This window comes from Homo sapiens, chromosome 22 (genome assembly GCF_000001405.40).
Source record: "Homo sapiens chromosome 22, GRCh38.p14 Primary Assembly".
NCBI classification, from domain to species: domain Eukaryota; kingdom Metazoa; phylum Chordata; class Mammalia; order Primates; family Hominidae; genus Homo; species Homo sapiens.
In genome coordinates this window covers 46,941,539-46,960,251 of record NC_000022.11, presented here as the reverse complement: position 1 = coordinate 46,960,251, position 18,713 = coordinate 46,941,539, and the positions used below count along the sequence as shown (strand labels likewise).

General features: G+C 47.2%; 1 protein-coding gene and 1 long non-coding RNA gene across 17 annotated transcripts in view, besides 2 other annotated features; both read right to left on the bottom strand.

Annotated features, from left to right (window-relative positions):
- The window catches only part of TBC1D22A (TBC1 domain family member 22A), a 413,050-nt gene that overhangs the window by 215,448 nt on the left and 178,889 nt on the right, over positions 1–18,713 (bottom strand).
- LOC105369161 (uncharacterized) lies at positions 4,170–18,336 on the bottom strand. Its single transcript, XR_938320.3, has 2 exons — positions 4,590–18,336; positions 4,170–4,496 (listed from the first exon to the last, which is right to left on the bottom strand). It is a non-coding gene; the product is annotated as an uncharacterized LOC105369161 (long non-coding RNA).
- Positions 9,702–10,297: an enhancer, noted in NCBI's record as "H3K27ac-H3K4me1 hESC enhancer chr22:47345851-47346446 (GRCh37/hg19 assembly coordinates)". NCBI's record gives its function as "activates a minimal SCP1, AML or CMV promoter by ChIP-STARR-seq in primed H9 embryonic stem cells {active_cell/tissue: H9 hESC(primed)}" and the evidence as "EXISTENCE:reporter gene assay evidence [ECO:0000049][PMID:30033119]".
- Positions 10,298–10,895: an enhancer, noted in NCBI's record as "H3K27ac-H3K4me1 hESC enhancer chr22:47345253-47345850 (GRCh37/hg19 assembly coordinates)". NCBI's record gives its function as "activates a minimal SCP1, AML or CMV promoter by ChIP-STARR-seq in primed H9 embryonic stem cells {active_cell/tissue: H9 hESC(primed)}" and the evidence as "EXISTENCE:reporter gene assay evidence [ECO:0000049][PMID:30033119]".

Sequence of the window (18,713 nt, the reverse complement as noted above, 5' to 3'; positions counted from 1 at the left end):
GTACCTCCTACATAATGTCTGATATGGCACTATATAACAGGCCAGTACCAAAGACCGTGAAAAACGCACTAATAACAACATTCCTGTTGGAGGCAGGTAAGAAGCACTTAGTTAAATTGGAGGTAACAGAAGAGACTCAGGCCCTTTTGCCTGCTCCATCACTAGCAGTCAGTCCCACTGTGTGATTCCCCTGCTAACTAACGAGATGTTAGTCTTTGACACCATCCTCTGCTACAAGGAACCAGGGCTCTTAGCTGATGCAGGTTTGGGCCAGAAGAATTCAAAAGGAGCCTGTGGACAAAGCTAAAGGAGACTTTCAGAGGTGTCTGAAGGCAGTGCTAAAAAGGCTAAGTGAACCCAGTCAGTTTCGAGGGCCAAGAAGCCAAGTAAATGTCAAAAAAGCAAATGCCGATGGCAGGTCATTAGAAAACGTGGAGTCTGGAAAAGCCAAGTCCAGGCTGACAGTAAGTCATAGGAAAACCTCCCGACAAGAGTGAACTGACGGGTGCCAGGCTGCCCAGAAAGCCAGGAGGCGCGGCTGGGCTTGGCCGGCTCTGACCAAGCGGAATCAGAGTGAATCAGAGGTCCATGGCAATCCTGGGCACCAGAACCGAGCCGAAGGACAGGGGAGGGGACAGAGAGGCCACCGGCACAAGGGACCAGGAAATGGACCTTTCCCTCCTGGGGTCTGTCTGTCTCCAGTGTGGCAGCAAGGAAACAGCCTGACTCCCAGCAGGCCTCTCAAACCAGGGACCACAAAAGTCACAGCACAGAGGCAGAGGGCCAAGGCTCATAGGGAGGCGGCAATGCTGCCCGCTGCGGCAGCCACACCCACACCCTGTGTCCTGACACCACCTGCACCTGGCCCCGCCAACCAACCTGCGGGTCGGTGTCAGGACCCACTGTTCACAACACTGCATGTCTAGCTCCATGGCTGAGTCCAGGCAAGACCCAAAGTGTGTGTGTCCTTCTCTTGTGCCACCCTCACACCAGCCCCATACCACAGACTCCTCACAAACTCATCATCCATCAGTCACGTAGTTTAGGGGTTGCTTTGGTTTTAGTTTTTTGTTGGGTAGAACGGAAAACACAGGGCAAGATCCTAAAGCCCCACAGTTCCTCATCCAGGAAAGCGAAAACCAACAAGAAACGCTCTGTCTGGCTGAGCTGTCAGGAGAGACGGCCGGGAGCACACATTCTCATAACTGAAGCCACCTCAGTGAGCGACAGCCAATGCCCGTTTCATTTTATACTGAATTAGAAGGAGAGCTTCCCGCTTCACAAGCAGCGGGAAGAATGAGCATGGTGTATTGTGTCGTGAAAACATCTTGTGTCTCCATGCATTTCATGAAGGTACTCAGACAATGAGAAGGCTGCTGCTCTGTTTCAGGAACCGCAGGCCTAGGCAGGAGCACATTCAAAGTAAACAGAGTGATTCTCCTTTCTAGAAAGAAATGCTAATTCCCTCCAATCCAGTAAGTCTACGGGTAAGGCAAAGGTCGAACAGCAACTTTTTAAAAGAAGCAAAGCCTGCTGTCTCCTTTGGAACACAGAAAACTGTTCCAGCAGCTGGGGGAAAAGTCCCGACGCTGGGCACAGGGCTAGAGACGCCCTGCTACAAAACGCTTATGCATGAAGAGCTAATCCTTGTGCCAAGTAGACACGGAGGCTGGCTGAGTGAAGATGGGCTGGAGAATTAACTCTGCATCACACATTGAACAGGTGGAACTGGCCAGGACTCCCAGCTCTCCAACGGTGAGACGGACACCCAGGTGGACAAGGTGGCGGCCTCTCCACATGCATATGCCGAGCCCCCTGTCCCATCCCAATGTAACGACTGATGGTTGAGCAGCCACGGTGCAGAGAGGATACAGGCTGCCCTGGGACCCCAGCCACAGGGAGACGTGAAGGGGCTGGGGGTCACAAGGTTTGCACAGCCACTCAGAACAGGCAGCCAGCTTGTACCTCCAGCCCCAAAGGGAACCAAATAGAGGACTGAATGGACCTGATCAATAAACCTCCCTGGTTCTACGAAACTCCCAGGAGGTCACAACCGCCAGAGCAGGGTGCCATGTAGAAATATAAAAGAAACGGTCAATCCTTGGGCCAAGCCCTCAGGGCTCCCTGATGAGAGCCACACTCAACACTGTAACTGCTCCCCGACCTGCAGAAACCCCATCCAGGCAGCACCCTCCTCCAGGAGCCCCCAGGCCTACCCCATCACTCCCCCAACCCCCGAGAAATGCAGGAGATGCAGGGTGCTCTGTGGGGGTTCTGCCATCACCAGTTCAGGGGGCTATCCTATGCCTCCTGCCTCTGATGCCCCAGCTCCAGTCCACCCTCCATCATCTGCAAATGGATCTGTCCACTATTGTTAGAAACGTGTTCCATGCACACTGTTTGATGGCCGTCCCTCCCCTCGAGGAGGCAAACTGGGTGCTGGGTGGCTGCAAGAGGTGTGATCCGCTTCCTCACATAAGCAGCCCAGGCACAGCCTCACCTCTCGCCTGCCCAGCATGGCGTCTCTGGCGCTGGAAGGCCCCACTCAGCTTAGCTGGCCCACGCTGTCCTCATTCTGGGATCCCGAGCCAGTTCCAACCCATCTGCTGACTGGTAGTCAAGGCACTTGATACGGTTTGGTTCTGTGCCCCCACCCAAGTCTCATCTCCAATTGTAATCCCCACGTGTTCAGGGAGGGAGGTGATTGAATCGGGGGGCAGTCTCCCCCATGCTGTTCTTGTGACAGTGAGTTCTCACGAGATGTGCTGGTCTTATAAGCATCCGACATTTCCCCTGCTGGCACTCACTCTCTCCTGCTGCCTTGTGAAGAAGATGCCTGCTTTCCCTTCGCCTTCCACCATGATTGTAAGTTTCCTAAGGCCTTCCAGCCATGCTTCCTGTTAAGCCTGCAGAACTGTGAGTCAGTTAAACCTCTTTCCTTTATAATGACCTAGTCTCAGGTAGTATTCTTTACAGAGTGTGGGAACAGACTAATACAGCACTACTCAAACCTCCCTCTGCAGACTTTTGTTTTATTTCCAAACAGCTGTATGCCCAGGTGAAGAGGGGTGCTTTCATGGGGTCCCCTGGCCCATCACACCTGGTGCCTGCAATGGGTACATCAGCTGGCTGGAAGGTGGAGACCGCGTCCCTCTCTAACAGAAAGGTCTCGAGGCTCCCCACTGTCTTCAGAGCAAGGCCTCCACAGGCGAGCCTTCAGGGACCTGCCATGGCCTCTGCCCAGCGCTGCCAGGGCTGGCTGCACCCCAGCCTTTCCCTGGGTTCCTTGTTTCTTACCTGCCCGACTCCCACACACCCTTCTGGAACTTAGTTCAGGCCGGATCTGGCCCCAGCCTAACCAGCAACACAAAAAACATGTAAATCCCGGAAAGTCTGTGCTCAACAGTCTGTGCTGGTTTAGAATCTAAGCCTCCATCTGAAAGACAGAGGAAGTGCCTCACCTAAAGCCCCTAGTGTCTCCTCACTCACACCCCTCGGCCATCTCACAGTGGCCTGTGTGTACCACCACTGCCACGCTGAGGGGAACGCGCCCCACAGACGGCGGACCACAGGCCCACAGGCTTCTGCACACACCACACGAGACGCACTCAACTTTCGGGCTTGACAGGGCACTACACATCCCAGCACAACGCCTTCAACTCAGAGCTGACCAGGTTGACCCCTGAAAAGGAAGTGGCTTCTCTCTGCTTCTTCTAAGTCTCTCTATACGGACAAAGAAGGAAACCTCCCAATAATGCTTTATTACATGATACTTGTAAGTAATTTGGAGAATACAGAAAAGCTTAAAAAAGAAAATTAAATCATCCATTAGTGGAGACAGGGTTTCACCGTGTTAGCCAGGACGGTCTCGATCTCCTGACCTAGTGATGTGCCCACCTCAGCCTCCCAAAGAGCTGGGATTACAGGCGTGAGCCACTGTGCCTGGCCCCACATCTCTTCTTCTTATTAGGACATCAGTTCCATGGGGTTAGGGCACACCCTAATGGCCTCACTTTATCTTTATTACCTCTTTAAAGACCCTATCTCCAAACATCTTCTGTGGTATTAGGGGTTAGGACTTCAACAGATGAATTCTGGGGAAGCAATTCAGCCCCCTAACATTCACACACACACACACATTTTCAATAAACCAGAATTGAGACTAAATATGAAGTTTTATGTCCTATTGTTTTTATTTATACCCTGATCATTTTCACATACTGAAAAAGGTTTTTATGAAATCATGTTTAGGGCGACACAGAAATCAATGTACCCAATGGCTTTAAACTTCCTCTATCGGTGGGCATCTGGGCTGGTTCAAGCCTCAACTCATGCAAACATTTGCCTCCACAGGGAGCCCCGTGCTCAGCCTTCACACACATCACCTTCTATGTCCTCGGGACAGGGAGGCACTGGGCTGTTCAGTGGCCAGCAAACTGCTTTCCAGAATGGTTGTTTCACAGCAAAAGACTGGAAGAGTGTCAACTTCACCTCACCTGAAGAGCACTGAGTATTATCTTTTTTAATTTGTGATGATTTGATAGACAAAAATAGAACTGCATTATTGGTTCAATTTGCATTTTCATTACCTGTGAAGTTAGACGGTTTTTTCAGCTTATTAGTCATTTGTGTTTCCTACTTTGTAACATGTCTGCTTATTTCTAAAAGAAAGAATTTTAATTTATTAATCTTCCCGAACATAAGAAATGGCTCATAAAGACAAATACTACCACACACACACAAACGAAAACGTGTCAAGGTGAGTAGCATAGGTTGTTTTCAAAATGCAAATACGGCCTCTGCTGATACATATGCCTAAGAAGCTGCCAATCACAGCAAATCCTTCCAGTGTGAAGCTGCCTTTTTACATAAACATGAAAGACTGCTAAAATTCTGAAACTATTCAGGGTGAGTGGAAAATAATTTATTTTGTTTGGCCTTTCTTATTCATCGTTAGCGTACTTTTAATCAAATATATCAATATGTAGTAATTAACCCTGCTTTGGGTAAATCAAAATTAACAAACCACTTCAATAACAAATCAAACAAACATAATTGGTATTTTAATTTTTAATTTTTTATAAGTAACATACCACGTAACACTACGCTGAACATTACCACCACATAATGACCCCACAGCATAGCAATGGCCTGTCCTTAACACTGTTACTAGACTCACGAAATACGCTTCCAGAATGAGAAAAAACAGCTCTCAAAAGCCGCGTCTTATTATTCAACTATTAAACTTCCTTAATCATCAATCAGTTTAATTGCTCCTGACATGGGTTATAAATAACATTTTGTGGTTCAATAAAATATCACAAGGATAACCCCTTCGCTTCCTAAGCTGATCAGAAATTCCTCCTTGAAATATTCCAATACAATCCATTTATCCTTTCCTGGGATTCAATTATTTCCACTTCACTTGCCTGTAACATTTTGAAGCATTTTGCTAATTTGGGCTAAAAAAATGTTAAGAAATCACTGTATTAAATTGCACAGTATTATTTCCAATTAGATCCCTAATGGGTAGATGACCCATTTCACTCCAGCCCAAACGAATCAGCTGAACACACGCTGGTACTCAGCCACGTTCGGTGGCTGTTTTGTCCCATCCTCCACATCACTCAGCTCGGCGTCCTCAGCTCCTGCTCTCCACCCAGAGCATGGAGCCACAGACATAGTGACGTCATGAGGGCTGTGCTTTGGAAAGATGAGCCCAGGAGAGGGGGCCAATGAGAGGGGTTGAAATGTGAGGCAAGATGCTCGAGTGTGTGCTATGCCCACAACTCTCCGCCTTGAACAAGGAAATCAACGTATCTGACCTGCACAAAATCCAATTCGTTCATTCAACAGATAGGAATGAGCACACCCCAACCAAGAAACACTTCCCAGTGTTGACCGCAGTACTCACATACACGCATCACGTTTCTTAATCCTGATCTAAAGCAAACAGCAGCTCTCACCTATTTAAGAGGTAAAACACAAACTGAGCAAGGCAAAGGACATGTTCAAAGTCACGCAGCCTGCAAGAAGCAGAGCGGGACTGGGGCTGGGGCCTGTCTGACTCTAGTGCCTATGGGCCCTGTGGACTTGCTACTGTGGACCTGTCTGACTCTAGTGCCTATGGGCCCTGTGGACTTGCTACTGTGGTAACAGCATTTTAACTACACTAGTGTGACCGTGACCTGATCCTCGACCTTCTGAAGAGGATGAATTCAATAAAGTGGTTAAGATGCAGACTGTCTCTGGCATCAGACCATCACAGCTCTGCTACCTCCTAGTTAAGTGGCCTTCAACAAATCAGTTAACCTGATCAACTCTCAGCTTCCTTACCTATACATGGAAAAATGCCACCTCCCTCCCTGCCTCCCTCTTAAGGGTGTTGGGAGAATCACACACATGCACAGCTAAGCTGAACAAAGCACCTGATAGAGGTAAATACTCAGTCAATGTTAATATTAGATTTGGCTAACTTTGACAGAATTCTATCAAATCCTAAGCCATGGACCAAAGATAATAATGACAAAAGACTTCCAATCCGAAATTATGCAGGACAAAAAGACAATAGAATGACAGTGTTAAAGGACTGGGAATAAAACTGGTAACCCAGGATTCTGTACCCAGTAAAAATATGTTTCAAAAACAAAGTGAAATGTTTTTTCAGACAAACTAAAGCTACAAAAAGTGTTAAAGTTCTTCAGGCAAAAGAAATCATGTTTAAGGCCAAGTAGATACAGACCTACAAAAATAAATGAAAAAAAACAGGAAATTATAAAAATGAAGGTAAATATGAAAGGCATTTTTTAAATAATTTCTTTAAAAGATAATTGACAAGGAACATACCAGGCATACAGATCTTGGTTTTAATACAATCCACCAATAAAAGGAACTAGGGCTCCTTGGAGAAATGGCCACACACACACACAGATGAGAGTGTGTCATGGAACCCAGGGGCCAACAGAAAGACCATCCAATGGCAAAGGTGAATCAATCTGAGCAATAAAACATATAATGTAATATTGACTGCAACTCGAAATATGAAGTATTTTAAAATTCATATTGATATAAATAATTGGATAAATTAAATGTGGAAAACAGAAAAGTCTCTCATGCAAAAAAATTCCAAATAATTTCTGAACATGCTCTCCCCTCAAGGAAGTGAAGTATGACCCCCACCCGTTCAGTGTGGGCTGCACACAGTGACTTCCTTCCAGAGAGTGCAGTATGGGAAGCAAGGAAAAAAGAGTGACTTTACAGCAAACACTTCACCAGGTGGTCAAGGTCACAGACCTCGGCTGCTAAGACAAAGACGAGACCACCCTCGGATCAGACCTGGTGAAAGGCCATCCAAGCAATGTGGCAAGAGGGTGGCCAGAGGCAGGAGACAACGGGGTGGTCCTGACGTGGAGGACAGGAGAGGGTGACCAGGGACAGAGTCAGCTCTGGTACCAACAATGCTGAGGGGTTGAGAGAGAGAATCCAGGGGCCCTCAGGTTTCAGCAGACTGGGCAGATGTACTGACCAAAGAATATGGCCAAGGCAGCAGGTGTGGGACAGCATGCTGCCTCTGCCTCCAGCACTGGACTCTGTGGTACCAGCATCTTCAAGGAGCTGGCAAGGAGGCAGGTGGATACAAGGGAGTGGAGCTCAGGACACAGATCTGGGCTAGAAAGCTGACATTTCAGAGCACGACATCTTAACCTTGCAGGCCAACACCCACACCCAAAACTGATAAAAACGATGCTTCCTTTATCCAGAAAAACGTACAGAGATATAACATTTGGTATCATGTCAGGAGGCTCCTAAACCTGCTAAAAGCCACTTGTGGACCTTTAAGTACACAGTTCAATGAAGACACTAGCATGCAAGAGTGGAGAACGCAGGATGAAAGGGGAGAAGGTCAAGAAGAAAGCTCGAGAGAACCAACAGCCCAGGCAGAGGAGGACAAGCGGCACACACAGAAGCCGAAAATGATGGTGAGGAGGGACAGGGTCCACAGGAATGCCAAGGCCAGGAAGGCTTGCTGTCCCGGAGCCTGGGAGGAAAATGCTTTCAAAGATGTGGACATGCTGTGAGGGATATGATGGCTGCAAAGTGTCAACCACCCACAGGGCAGGCCAGTCACTTCTGACCTCAGTAAGAACTTGCTTGCCAAGGGTGCCTGGCCACAATCTGTCCCCCTGTGGACATCCACGTGCCCTGTGCTGTGGGGCTCAGCAGGATACATCTTATTTACAAAACTCGTAACAAACAGCCTGCTCTGTGACTTCTGCTCTTAATGTGATCATTGGTCCAACTCCAATAAGCTAAATGGGATTTCCTGCAAGATGAAAGGAGACCAGGTACACCTGCTTCCTCGTCTCCCCTCATGCAGAGCCTCTGGTGTCATCACCTGGATGTGCTCAGGGATGAAAGCATCAGGACACCTTAAAGAAAGACATTTCCTACAAAACAAAGCTCCGCATTTGAGCCTTCTGCTTCCGGCAGCACAAATTCCACTGGTTATAAATCAGGTTTATGAATTTTGCATGGATCTGAAAGAAAAAACCCATCAGTCATCACTGAGACACTCGTCCACTTTACACCTCGCTGTAACTGGACAGCTGACACAAGGTGCTCAGCTCTGATGACGCATTATCACCAAGTCAAGCTCCGAGGGCTCCAAGATGGCGCCGGCTGCAGTGACAGCCCCTAACTGGCGTGAAATACAGCCATGTCCGTGCAGATGTCCCATCACTCTCTTAGCACAACTGGCCCAACTGTACATTTTCAGTACTCACTGCCCCGGGCAATCCTGCATGCTCTTGATTATTCTTTGAAAATGCATAACACATGAATCGCGAAACTGACTGTGAAGGCCCAAAATTAGACACTGCTGCCCGGCCTCAGAAAATGCTACCATTTTAGAACGTTCTTCTGAAGTGGTTTGTGTTTTATTGGCAAACCAGTGTATTATTATTGTAATAATAATGATTTAAATATAAATACCATTAGAGCTACAAAAATAATACACATGTACTTTGTGATTTTACTTCAAAGGCTTCCCAGCACTATACATACACTCAATCATTAACCTCCCAGAGAGAAGAAAAGCTGCAAGGATTGTCTCTATTTTGCAGATGGAGAGTCTACGGCAAAGAAGCAAAGGTTAGGTAGGCCCAATGCCACGTACAGGGACAGCTGAAAGCTCCGGAAGTGCTGGGCTGTTTCTGTCCACAAACATGCGCCTATGCATACACACTTCTACGGATGGATGCAGACTCACACACGTATTTCAGGACAAACACATATCCCGAACACTTACAAGGAATGTGAGAGGGAGATTATTTATAAGGAACTTCTCTAGAGAAAAGGAACAGAATTAAAACTACACTGGTAAACTGGAGAAAAATAACAGAACTGCAGAGGTGTGGGGTGTGTTTGGTTTTGTATTGTCCCCGGTTATCCATGCACACATCCATCCCGGAGACGCAAGGGTTCGTAAAAGGCGCTCTCTCTACCTCTTCAGATTCTCCTCCACACTCACCCGTCATTCGCGCACATCTACCGTGAATACCTCAATCTAGGAAAGCTACCACCACCATCCTCCTGTTGTTCCTTGCAACTTCCTGATGAGACATCGCCATGTCCACACTGGAAAGGAAGAACATGAAGCTCCGAGATGACAGCTGGCTCTGACCTCAGGCAGGAAAGTGGGAACCAGTGGGCCCTAAAGCCTCCATCCAGCCATCGGCCCTAAAGGACAGTCCAGCATTCCACAGTGGACACAAGGACCTCAAAACGGGGGCAGAAATCAACGACTGCCTGGGAGGACAACGTAAAGACCCGTGGGGTTTTGACTAAGAGTGTTGAATGATTAGGATGTGCAACAGGCCACACAAACGGCACCCATCCAAGACTAAGCTCCTGCCATCCTTCCAAACTCAGAACCTCTCCTACCAGCCACTCAGGAATGGCAACTCTACCCTCCCTGCCAGTGAGGCATAAACCTTGGAGCCATCTTCAACTACCCTCTCACTCGTTCCTCTGATTCATAAGCAAACCCTTTCATCAGCTCAACTTTCAAACCAGAGTCAAATCCAGCCACTATTACCACCCTCTTGCTCCAAGCCACCACCGATCACTCCAACTTGGCTTAGCACAATGACCTAACTGGTCTCCTGGAGTCCACCCAGCTTCTCCCTACAACCTAGTCTCAGTACGTTCCCAAGGCGACCCTTTTCAAAAAAGGCCATGTTAACCCACGTTAACCAATGTCCCTCCACTGGCCTCCAGGCCCCATGGGGGTCATTGCTGCTCAGATGACACTGAGCACAGCCCTCCCCTGCTCAGGCTGCTCCAGCCCCAGCAGCCTCGGCTCAGGCCTCAGGGCCCCCTGGAAGTCTCCGCACTCACTTGCCTGCCCTTGCGCATGGTGCTCACCACTCCCGTCACTGCTGACCGGCTCAGTGAGGCCTTGCTGAGCCAGCATTAAAGACTGCAACACTTTCTTTTCCTTTCTCAGTTCTTTCTTCTTAGTGCTTCTTAGTGCTTGCCAATATCCAACTTAGTATTTCTCTCTCCCCACCAAAAGAATAAAAGTTCCCTGCGTGCAGAGATACCTGGTCGGCAGATGGATGAAATGATATAAATTTGCTAACAAGAGATCCATTCAGACGCTTCCATCTGAAGCCTCCATTTGCTCTATCACCAAACGAGTAGGAATAACTGCCAGACATACCCCAGATCTACATGGGAACATTTAAAGCAGGCCATGCCCTCTTCAAGGCCCCACACAAACATTGTGGCAGGAGGCAGGGCTGGAGGGGAGCATCAGAGCAGACATGGGGGACGGGGTCAGGCTCAGCTCCATCACAGATGGGGCCCTCGGAAAACCAACTTCTTTCTCTGGCATAGGTTTCCCTGAGAATGGGGAGGATGACTCAGATGATCCCGAGGTTCCCTCTGGCACTCACAGCCTCTGACTCCCTGAACCACACGAGTGTGACCGGCTGTTGTCATGCTCATGGTGGTTCCAGGTATTCGGGTGGACCTTGATGTTGCGTCTTCTTTGAGGGTCAGGTGTGAAGACAGGACTCAAAAATGGAAGAGAAGCAAAATGCGACACAATCAGTCTCTTGAACAAAGACTCTTTTAGGAGCCCAAATTTGTGCTCCCTCATTGGGTCAGACTGTCATTTCTTCCCAACATCAGATGAAATGAGTGACCCTCACTCAGAAGTGGCGCTCCACTCCTGCTTCCCACAGGGCTTCTGCTCCTCAGCGAAAGGCAGACAGAACTCCCGTGCCTGGAAGCAGGCTGATCTACCTGTGTGGCTCTCACCCCCGGCACATAGTGTTCAGTCTGCATAAGGTAAATGTGTGTGACGGGCCTCTCCGGTGATTTTCTGATTTTCTGATTTTCTGACTTCGGTAGCATGTTTCTGTTTGGCCGTGCTTACAAGATGAAATTGATTCTGTGGAGAAAGGCACGGTCTTTACCTGTCTCACGGGGCCTCTTAACAATAGGAGCAGGCTCCGTTTCAGCAACTATCATTTCTTTCTTCTTGAGAAATTGCAGCTTCTGCCCCACGGGGACAAAGACCAAAGAGGGAAGACAGCTTCTGTGCTGCATCAAAGATTTCCCAAACCAAGCTGAGCACAAACCATTGCCACGGAACACAGAGAGACCAACTCCAGAGACTCAAAGGGTTATCGACCAATACACACCCGGAGTGAGAAACCCACCGTGGGGGGATGAGCAAAGCTCATGACTGCAACCAAGGTTTTGGTGGAGGAGACTCTACCCCCATGGGCACCCAGCATGTGGGAAAATCTCAAAGGGCATTACCAAGAATGTAGGCTCTTGACTACAAAGGCATGACCCTGTATAAAAATGACTCTTAAATGGTGAGCAGTCAAGAGTTGGTGGGAAACTCTAATACTGTTTCTTTAACAAAGTCTTGCTCTGGCGTAGAACAAAGGGGAAAAAGGTCTGCATGCCATCTTACTTGTCAATTTAAGACTGAAAATGAAAATGAAAATCTTTCCTGCTTAAGGGGCTTTGATTTCTTGTTTTCTCTCTTTCAGCTAAAATGTTTTATTTGAAGATATGCAGGTTTGTTTTTATTTGCTTTGTTTTGCAAATCTCTCCTGTTCGCCTCTAATACCCCAGCCCTCCGTCCTTGCCGCCCTCCAAAGGCATGTTTCCTAGACAACCCAACGTAGCTCAGAGCACCTCATTTATGCAAGTGTACAAAGAGCGTCCTTCTCTCATTCACAGCTGGCATTAAAAGGCGAGTTTATCAGGTGAGGGCAGGATTCTAAAAGCCCTGGCAATTTTTCTGAATCTCTCTTGATGAGAAAGAGCTAAACAAACAGGTCCCCAAAGTTAGCAACAGAATGGAAAGGTGGCCACAGAATCCTCAGAAAGAACAGGCAGACTACTGAACAGGTTGATATGGAGAGCCAGGCAGTCCTCATGATATCTCTGGCCAGGTTCCTTGGGCAGGCGTCTCTGCCACCTCCCACTCCTGGCAACAGCGTGAGGGAGGAAGAGGGAGGGAGAAAGGGAGGGAGACAGGAGGGAGAGATCACACTTGCAAGGGCCAGAGGGAATGTATGAAAGAAACTAGGACGTGCAACACAGACGAACACAACACAGACAAGCGGGAGCAGCAGCCCATGGCTTCCACGAGGCCTTGAAATAGCGCAACGAAGATGGTGGTGGCCTGGAGGGGGCAGCTATAGACCTGCCTCTGTCCCACCAGCAGGTTCAGCAGGTTCTAGGCCCTTATTGCCCCACCTGTTAGATGACGGTGGAGGACTGAAGGGTCTCAAACGTCCAACCGTCCACCTTTAATGCGCAGCGCTAAGTCACTGAGCCCCATGTGGCCTGGGCCTTTTTAACTAAGAACAAATGGCTCTACTCGGATGACCCTGACTTCAACCACCCTTAGCCATTCGACTTCACACATCTGGGTCCAGACAGAGCGACTGAGAAGAACCCAAGAACCATGTCCAAACAACAAAACCCACAGAAAGTGGGTGATTTAGGGTCCATCAGCTGATACAGCAAATGTTTTCCCCATTCAAACTGGGGACCTATTAGCATTTCTTTCTACCGATTCACAGCACTCTTCAGAGAGGCAGCACACAGCTCTATCACCTCATCCACATAACGGTGTGGCCTGGGGAGGCTGGGCCTGGCAGTCTCTAAAGACCCCTCGGCCTCAAATCCTATGATGAAGACTTGCTCCTCCTGGAGAAGGCCACGGCTCAATATTCAGGCCACTGAAATTATACAACTGGACTGTACTACAAACATCCCAGAAAGACGGAGCAGCTTAAATCTCTCCCTAAAACCTACTGGAGACATAAAATGCCAACATACAAGTAGGAGGAGGTGTTATCAGGTTGCAAAGAAACCTCTAGAGGTTTGCTCAGAATGCACTTCCTAATGCAGTCAAGCACGCTGGTCTGAATACCAACCTAGAGGAAGGGGCCCCAGGCTCATTCCAGGTAGCACAGACTTGCTGCAACAGCAGCTGAGGATGCTGTGACTGAATGAATGAAACAGACTCACCTCAAAATGAAAACTGCCTGGGAAACTCAGTCATCAACAGGAGCCCAGTGCCCGCACAGCCGTGGGACTCACGCAAGCACAGTCCCAGAGGCCCTCCTTGTGCACCTACTCAGTGCTTCTGTGGATGAGGCAGTGAGGCGGCCACCTGTGCCCTTGGATCTTACAGCTCTATCTACTCTCCATCTGGCTGGCCGGCCTCAGGCTTCTACTTGCTTGTGAGCCCAGTGCCACCCTTTAGACAAGAAGGAGAGTCACTGAGGCTCACCAGCCTCCTGAAGGAACAAGGGGGAGCAGGGAGCACCAAGGCCTCTGCTCGTCAGGGGCACCTTTCTCCTGCAACCTCTTACAGCCTGGTGGGAGAAGCCTGTGTGTGCTGGCCAGCTCTATTCCACACAGCATCCTCTGTGCAGCCAAGGATGGGAACGTGGTTCAGTTCAGCCACACAGGCCCAAGCGGGTACTGTCACACCGGCTGGATGAGGCCAGCAGCTCCTACGGTGCACAAGCTTATGCTGGCCCGTCCGGAAGAGAAAACGAACCTACACGGAGGAAGCTGGTAGCAACACTCCATTCCCTCCCTTTGGAAAGCTGTGTACACACACCTTTAAGGGAGAAACGATAAGAGCCAATACTGTGCAGAATCACAAGGCTCCTAAAACCTCTTCTTCCAACCAGAGTGAGAATTACACAGAATGTCACTGTTGTTTCAGCCGCTGATAAAAATTATTCTAAAGTACTTGGGGTCCCAGTTCTGCAGCATTGAGTAGAAAAGTAAGTTCTAAAGAAAAGGGTACAAAATACTAGTCAGCAGGATGAAGCTCACTGCCATTTATTTTGAGCTGTGGGCCGTGGATGAGTTATTTCCTTCTTTGTGCCTCGACCCGCCTCTACAGAAGGATCATACTACCAAACCCAAGGAAGGCACGAGGCAGGTAATATTGCATCAGCAAAGTGTGTGCCCTGACAGAGGGTAACCAGGGGGGAACCCTGCTCCTGTACAGGCCCACAGAGGAAAGGGCAGAAGGACTCGGAGGCTGGGAGACAAATGCAGACCCCAGGACACAGCCTTAACCCCCTGGGGCTTCTGATGTCAGCTAGTTGGTCACACCTTTCCCCATAACGAGAAATGCCGTCAGCACAGCTGCAGCCTGGGTTAGGATCCTGGCTCAGACCCTCAGTAGCTCTGAGACCTTGATCAAGTTATTCAATCTCTTGTAAAACAGGGGTGATAACAGCATCATCTTCATGAATTAGTAAGACATAATAACAAGGAAAGTTCTTTAAAAGCTTCAGAAACAACGTGCTAAATAAACGTCAGCTGCCGCCTCCACCACAACGGTCAAACAGGCCTTCTAATTTTCATCACCTCTGTTTCTACAGCCCCCAGCAATAAGCGCTGAATGAATGAGTGAATGAATACAATAAATTGCCATGTATCCCTCCCGAAATTTAAACTGCCTAAGAGCAAAGATCATGGCACACAATCTGGCATTTCAAAAACCCACCAGTAGTTTTTCAAAAGTTTGTGGTACTGAACTGAAAATCCAAGGAGACCAGAAGATGAGGATTCCACTCTGACTTTTAAGAACTAAGGTCATGACCAAACTACAGATTTGGAAGTGGCTCAGTTGCTAAATGCATGAAGTTGCAAAGTTTGAAGTGGTTGCCTCTTATTTCCAGATTTTCCTTCAATCTCTCAGGCACAAGATGACAGAAATTGAGATAATCTATACATATTTAATTATCTATCTTAAAAGAAAAATCATCTACATGTTCAACTTTCAGCTTTTGTGAATTAAAAAATAAATCAAATTTTCACACTCATCTTTAAGGATTCTTTTTTCCTCTAACCAACAAAAAAGGCAAAAGAGTAATCACGATAAAATAAAAGTATCTTCATTGTATAAAATGTGAGACCAATTCCACTCAAGTTATAATAGATCAAAGAGCATGGAATGAAAAGTTTTATTTTTTAAAAAATGGAGTACAGGCTGGGCACGGTGGCTCACGCCTATAATCCCAGCACTTTGGGAGGCCAAGGTGGGCAGATTACAAGGTCATGAGATCAAGACCATCCTGGCTAACACGGTGAAACCCCATCTCTACTAAAAATACAAGAAATTAGCCGGGCATGGTGGCGGGCGCCTGTAGTCCCAGCTACTTGGGAGGCTGAGGCAGGAGAATGGCGTGAACCTGGGAGGCGGAGATTGCAGTGAGCCAAGATTGCGCCACTGCACTCCAGCCTGGGAGACGGAGCAAGACTCCGTCTCAAAAAAAAGAGGAATGCATAGAATTTAATGCAAGTAAAATAGATTTAAAGTTTAAAAATTTTTAAGTGAATCCAATCAGTATCAAATGTAATTGCCGATGAAGAAAAAACAAAACAAAAATAAACACATTAGTAATCATCCAGGAAATACAAACAGAAACACAACAAGCTACCACTTTATACCCAGTAGGATGGCTAAAATAAAAACACAAACAATAGTAAGTGCTGACAGGGATGTGGAGAAACACAACCCTCCTCCTTTGCTGATGGGATGGTAAATGGAGCAGGCACTTTGGAAAACAGTTCTTCAAAGGTAAAAGGTAAAATTCCCATATGAACCAGCAATTCCACTCCTAGGTATATCTCAAGAGAAATAAAATCATGCCCACATAGAAACTATACTAAATGCTTACAGCAGCACTGTTCATAATAGCCAGAAGTGCAAACAACCCAAATGTCCATCCATTGATGAATGGATAAACAAGACGTGGTCTATATGGAATATTATTCAGCCATAAAAAGGACCGGAGTACTGACGCGTGCTACAATACCGGCGAACCTCAAAAACATTACGGTCAATGAAAGAAGCCAATCAAAAAAGGCCACATGCCGTAGGATGCTGTGAACATATAACATGAAATGTCAGAAAGGGCAAATCCATGCAGACGAAAAGCAGATCAGTGGTCACCAGGGGCTGAGGAAAGGTCATGTGGCTGCTGGAGGGACCAGGGTTTCATCTTGAGATGAAATGTCTTGGAACAAGAGTGTGGCAATTGTTGCACAATTCTGTGAAGACACTAAAAACCACTGAATTATACGCATTAAATGGGAGACAGACAGATGGACCAGGCGGAATACACAAGTAGGAGAGAGGAGGGGTTTATTCCCCTTTCCAGGCACAGTCCCCGATGCTCCAGTCCTGGCGGACCAGCAGCCCATGCCGCTACTCTGTGCTTACAGCCTTCAAGGTTGAACGTTTAAAGCCTCACCAGCTAAAACACAAATTCTTTGTCTGCCTTGGGTTTTAAATTCTGTTCTTACAAAAGCAGACATATTGCAAAGGTCTATCATGTGCGGAAAAAACACAAGGTTGCTTTCTGCCCCCGGCTAGGACAGCTGGGCAGCCTCCAGTCCAACTCCACCACCTCCTGGCTTCTGAGTGGGAGAGGAGGCTCATTAATTACACCGAGATGGATGCCGCGGGGAGGCTGGGAGGAGAGCATAAGCCAAAAGTGAGGCGGGCAGCTCCCTTCGGAGGACATTTCTCTCTTCATAATTACATTAATTGCAATTAGCTCTCTCCTCCTTCATAATTCTTTTGCACTGACACCTGCGGAAGTCCTCTGGCTCCTGTTCAACGCCATTTTCCTGCTGCCACGGGTCCTCCAGCTCATTTCCCGTTTGGTCCCAGAAGCACAAAGCTGCTCCACCCTGCGGTCCTGGGTGACGCACCTCCGTGTGCAAGCATGTTCTGCTTTCACCAACCGGCCCACACCTCATCTTCATACTGAAATTAATTTCTCTCCTAGTCAAGCCCTGAAATACAGATACTTCATCTTTTCCTCCTAATTCATTCACCCTTAAGGAAAAGTTTCATAAGTAATTAAATTGATTTTTCCTTTCTATTTGGGACACAGGTCTATTTAGAACAGCAAAGTAATAGAAAGCCTGATTTCTCAGCAAGGATCCCTCGGGGAGGCCTGGCGACGTGACTGCTACAGGAAGAGGCACTTCCTGAAGCCGGCTTGGAGGGGCCTCCGTGGACTGGTGGCCGAGCGCACATCAGCCCTCTTCCTAATTGACATGTGCTGTATAAATTACACTCAGAAGGGATTCGCAGGCACTTTCTGGATCCGAAAAGCTCTTTAATATTAACGCGGTTTGAATCCTTCTTGAATACTATACAATTCTTATTACTGAAGTAAAAACTTCGACACGTGACGTTAGCGGCATAGCTAAGCAGCTGAAACGCTGTGACCAGAGTAGCCATGTCTAATTACCCACGGAAGTCACTGAAACTTCCCCAAAGAAACCAACAGGAGTGGTGAAGCTTGGGGCCTTGTGAAGTCATTAAGATAGCTTTATAAAGCTAAGCTTTTCACCCAAATACAGAACAGGATTTTTTCCTATTTACTGCTCAGAATGAAAAAGCACCTCAATACAAAGTTAAAACAAAAAAAACCAAAGCTGGCTCCATCACTGATACCTAATACGAACCACATGCCGGGCAGCCTGCCTAGTCCTGTAAGACTGTGGACTGTGTGTATATATATGTATGCTGGTGCCCCCAGCCCCCATGCTATTCAAGGGTGGACTGTGTATTTATATACGTATGCTAGTGCCCCAGGCTCCGTGCTGTTCAAGGGTGGACTGTGTGTATATATATATATAATATATATATATATATATGTATGCTGGTGCCCCAGGCCCCATGCTGTTCAAGGGTGGACTGTGTGTGTGTGTGTGTGTGTGTGTGTGTGTGTATACATACATACATATACATATACATATATTCTATATACATATATTCTATACATATTCTATACACATATATTCTATACATATTCTATACATATATTCTATTATTCTATATATTCTATATATATTCTATATATATTCTATATATTCTATATATATTCCGTATACATATTCCGTATATATATATTCCGCATATATATATTCCGTATATACATTCCGCGTATATATATTCCGCATATATAATCCGCGTATATATATTCCGTATATATATTCCGCGTATATATATTCCGTATATATATTCCGCGTATATATATTCCGTATATATATTCCGCGTATATATATTCCGTATATATATTCCCTGTATATATATTCCGTATATATATTCCCTGTATATATATTCC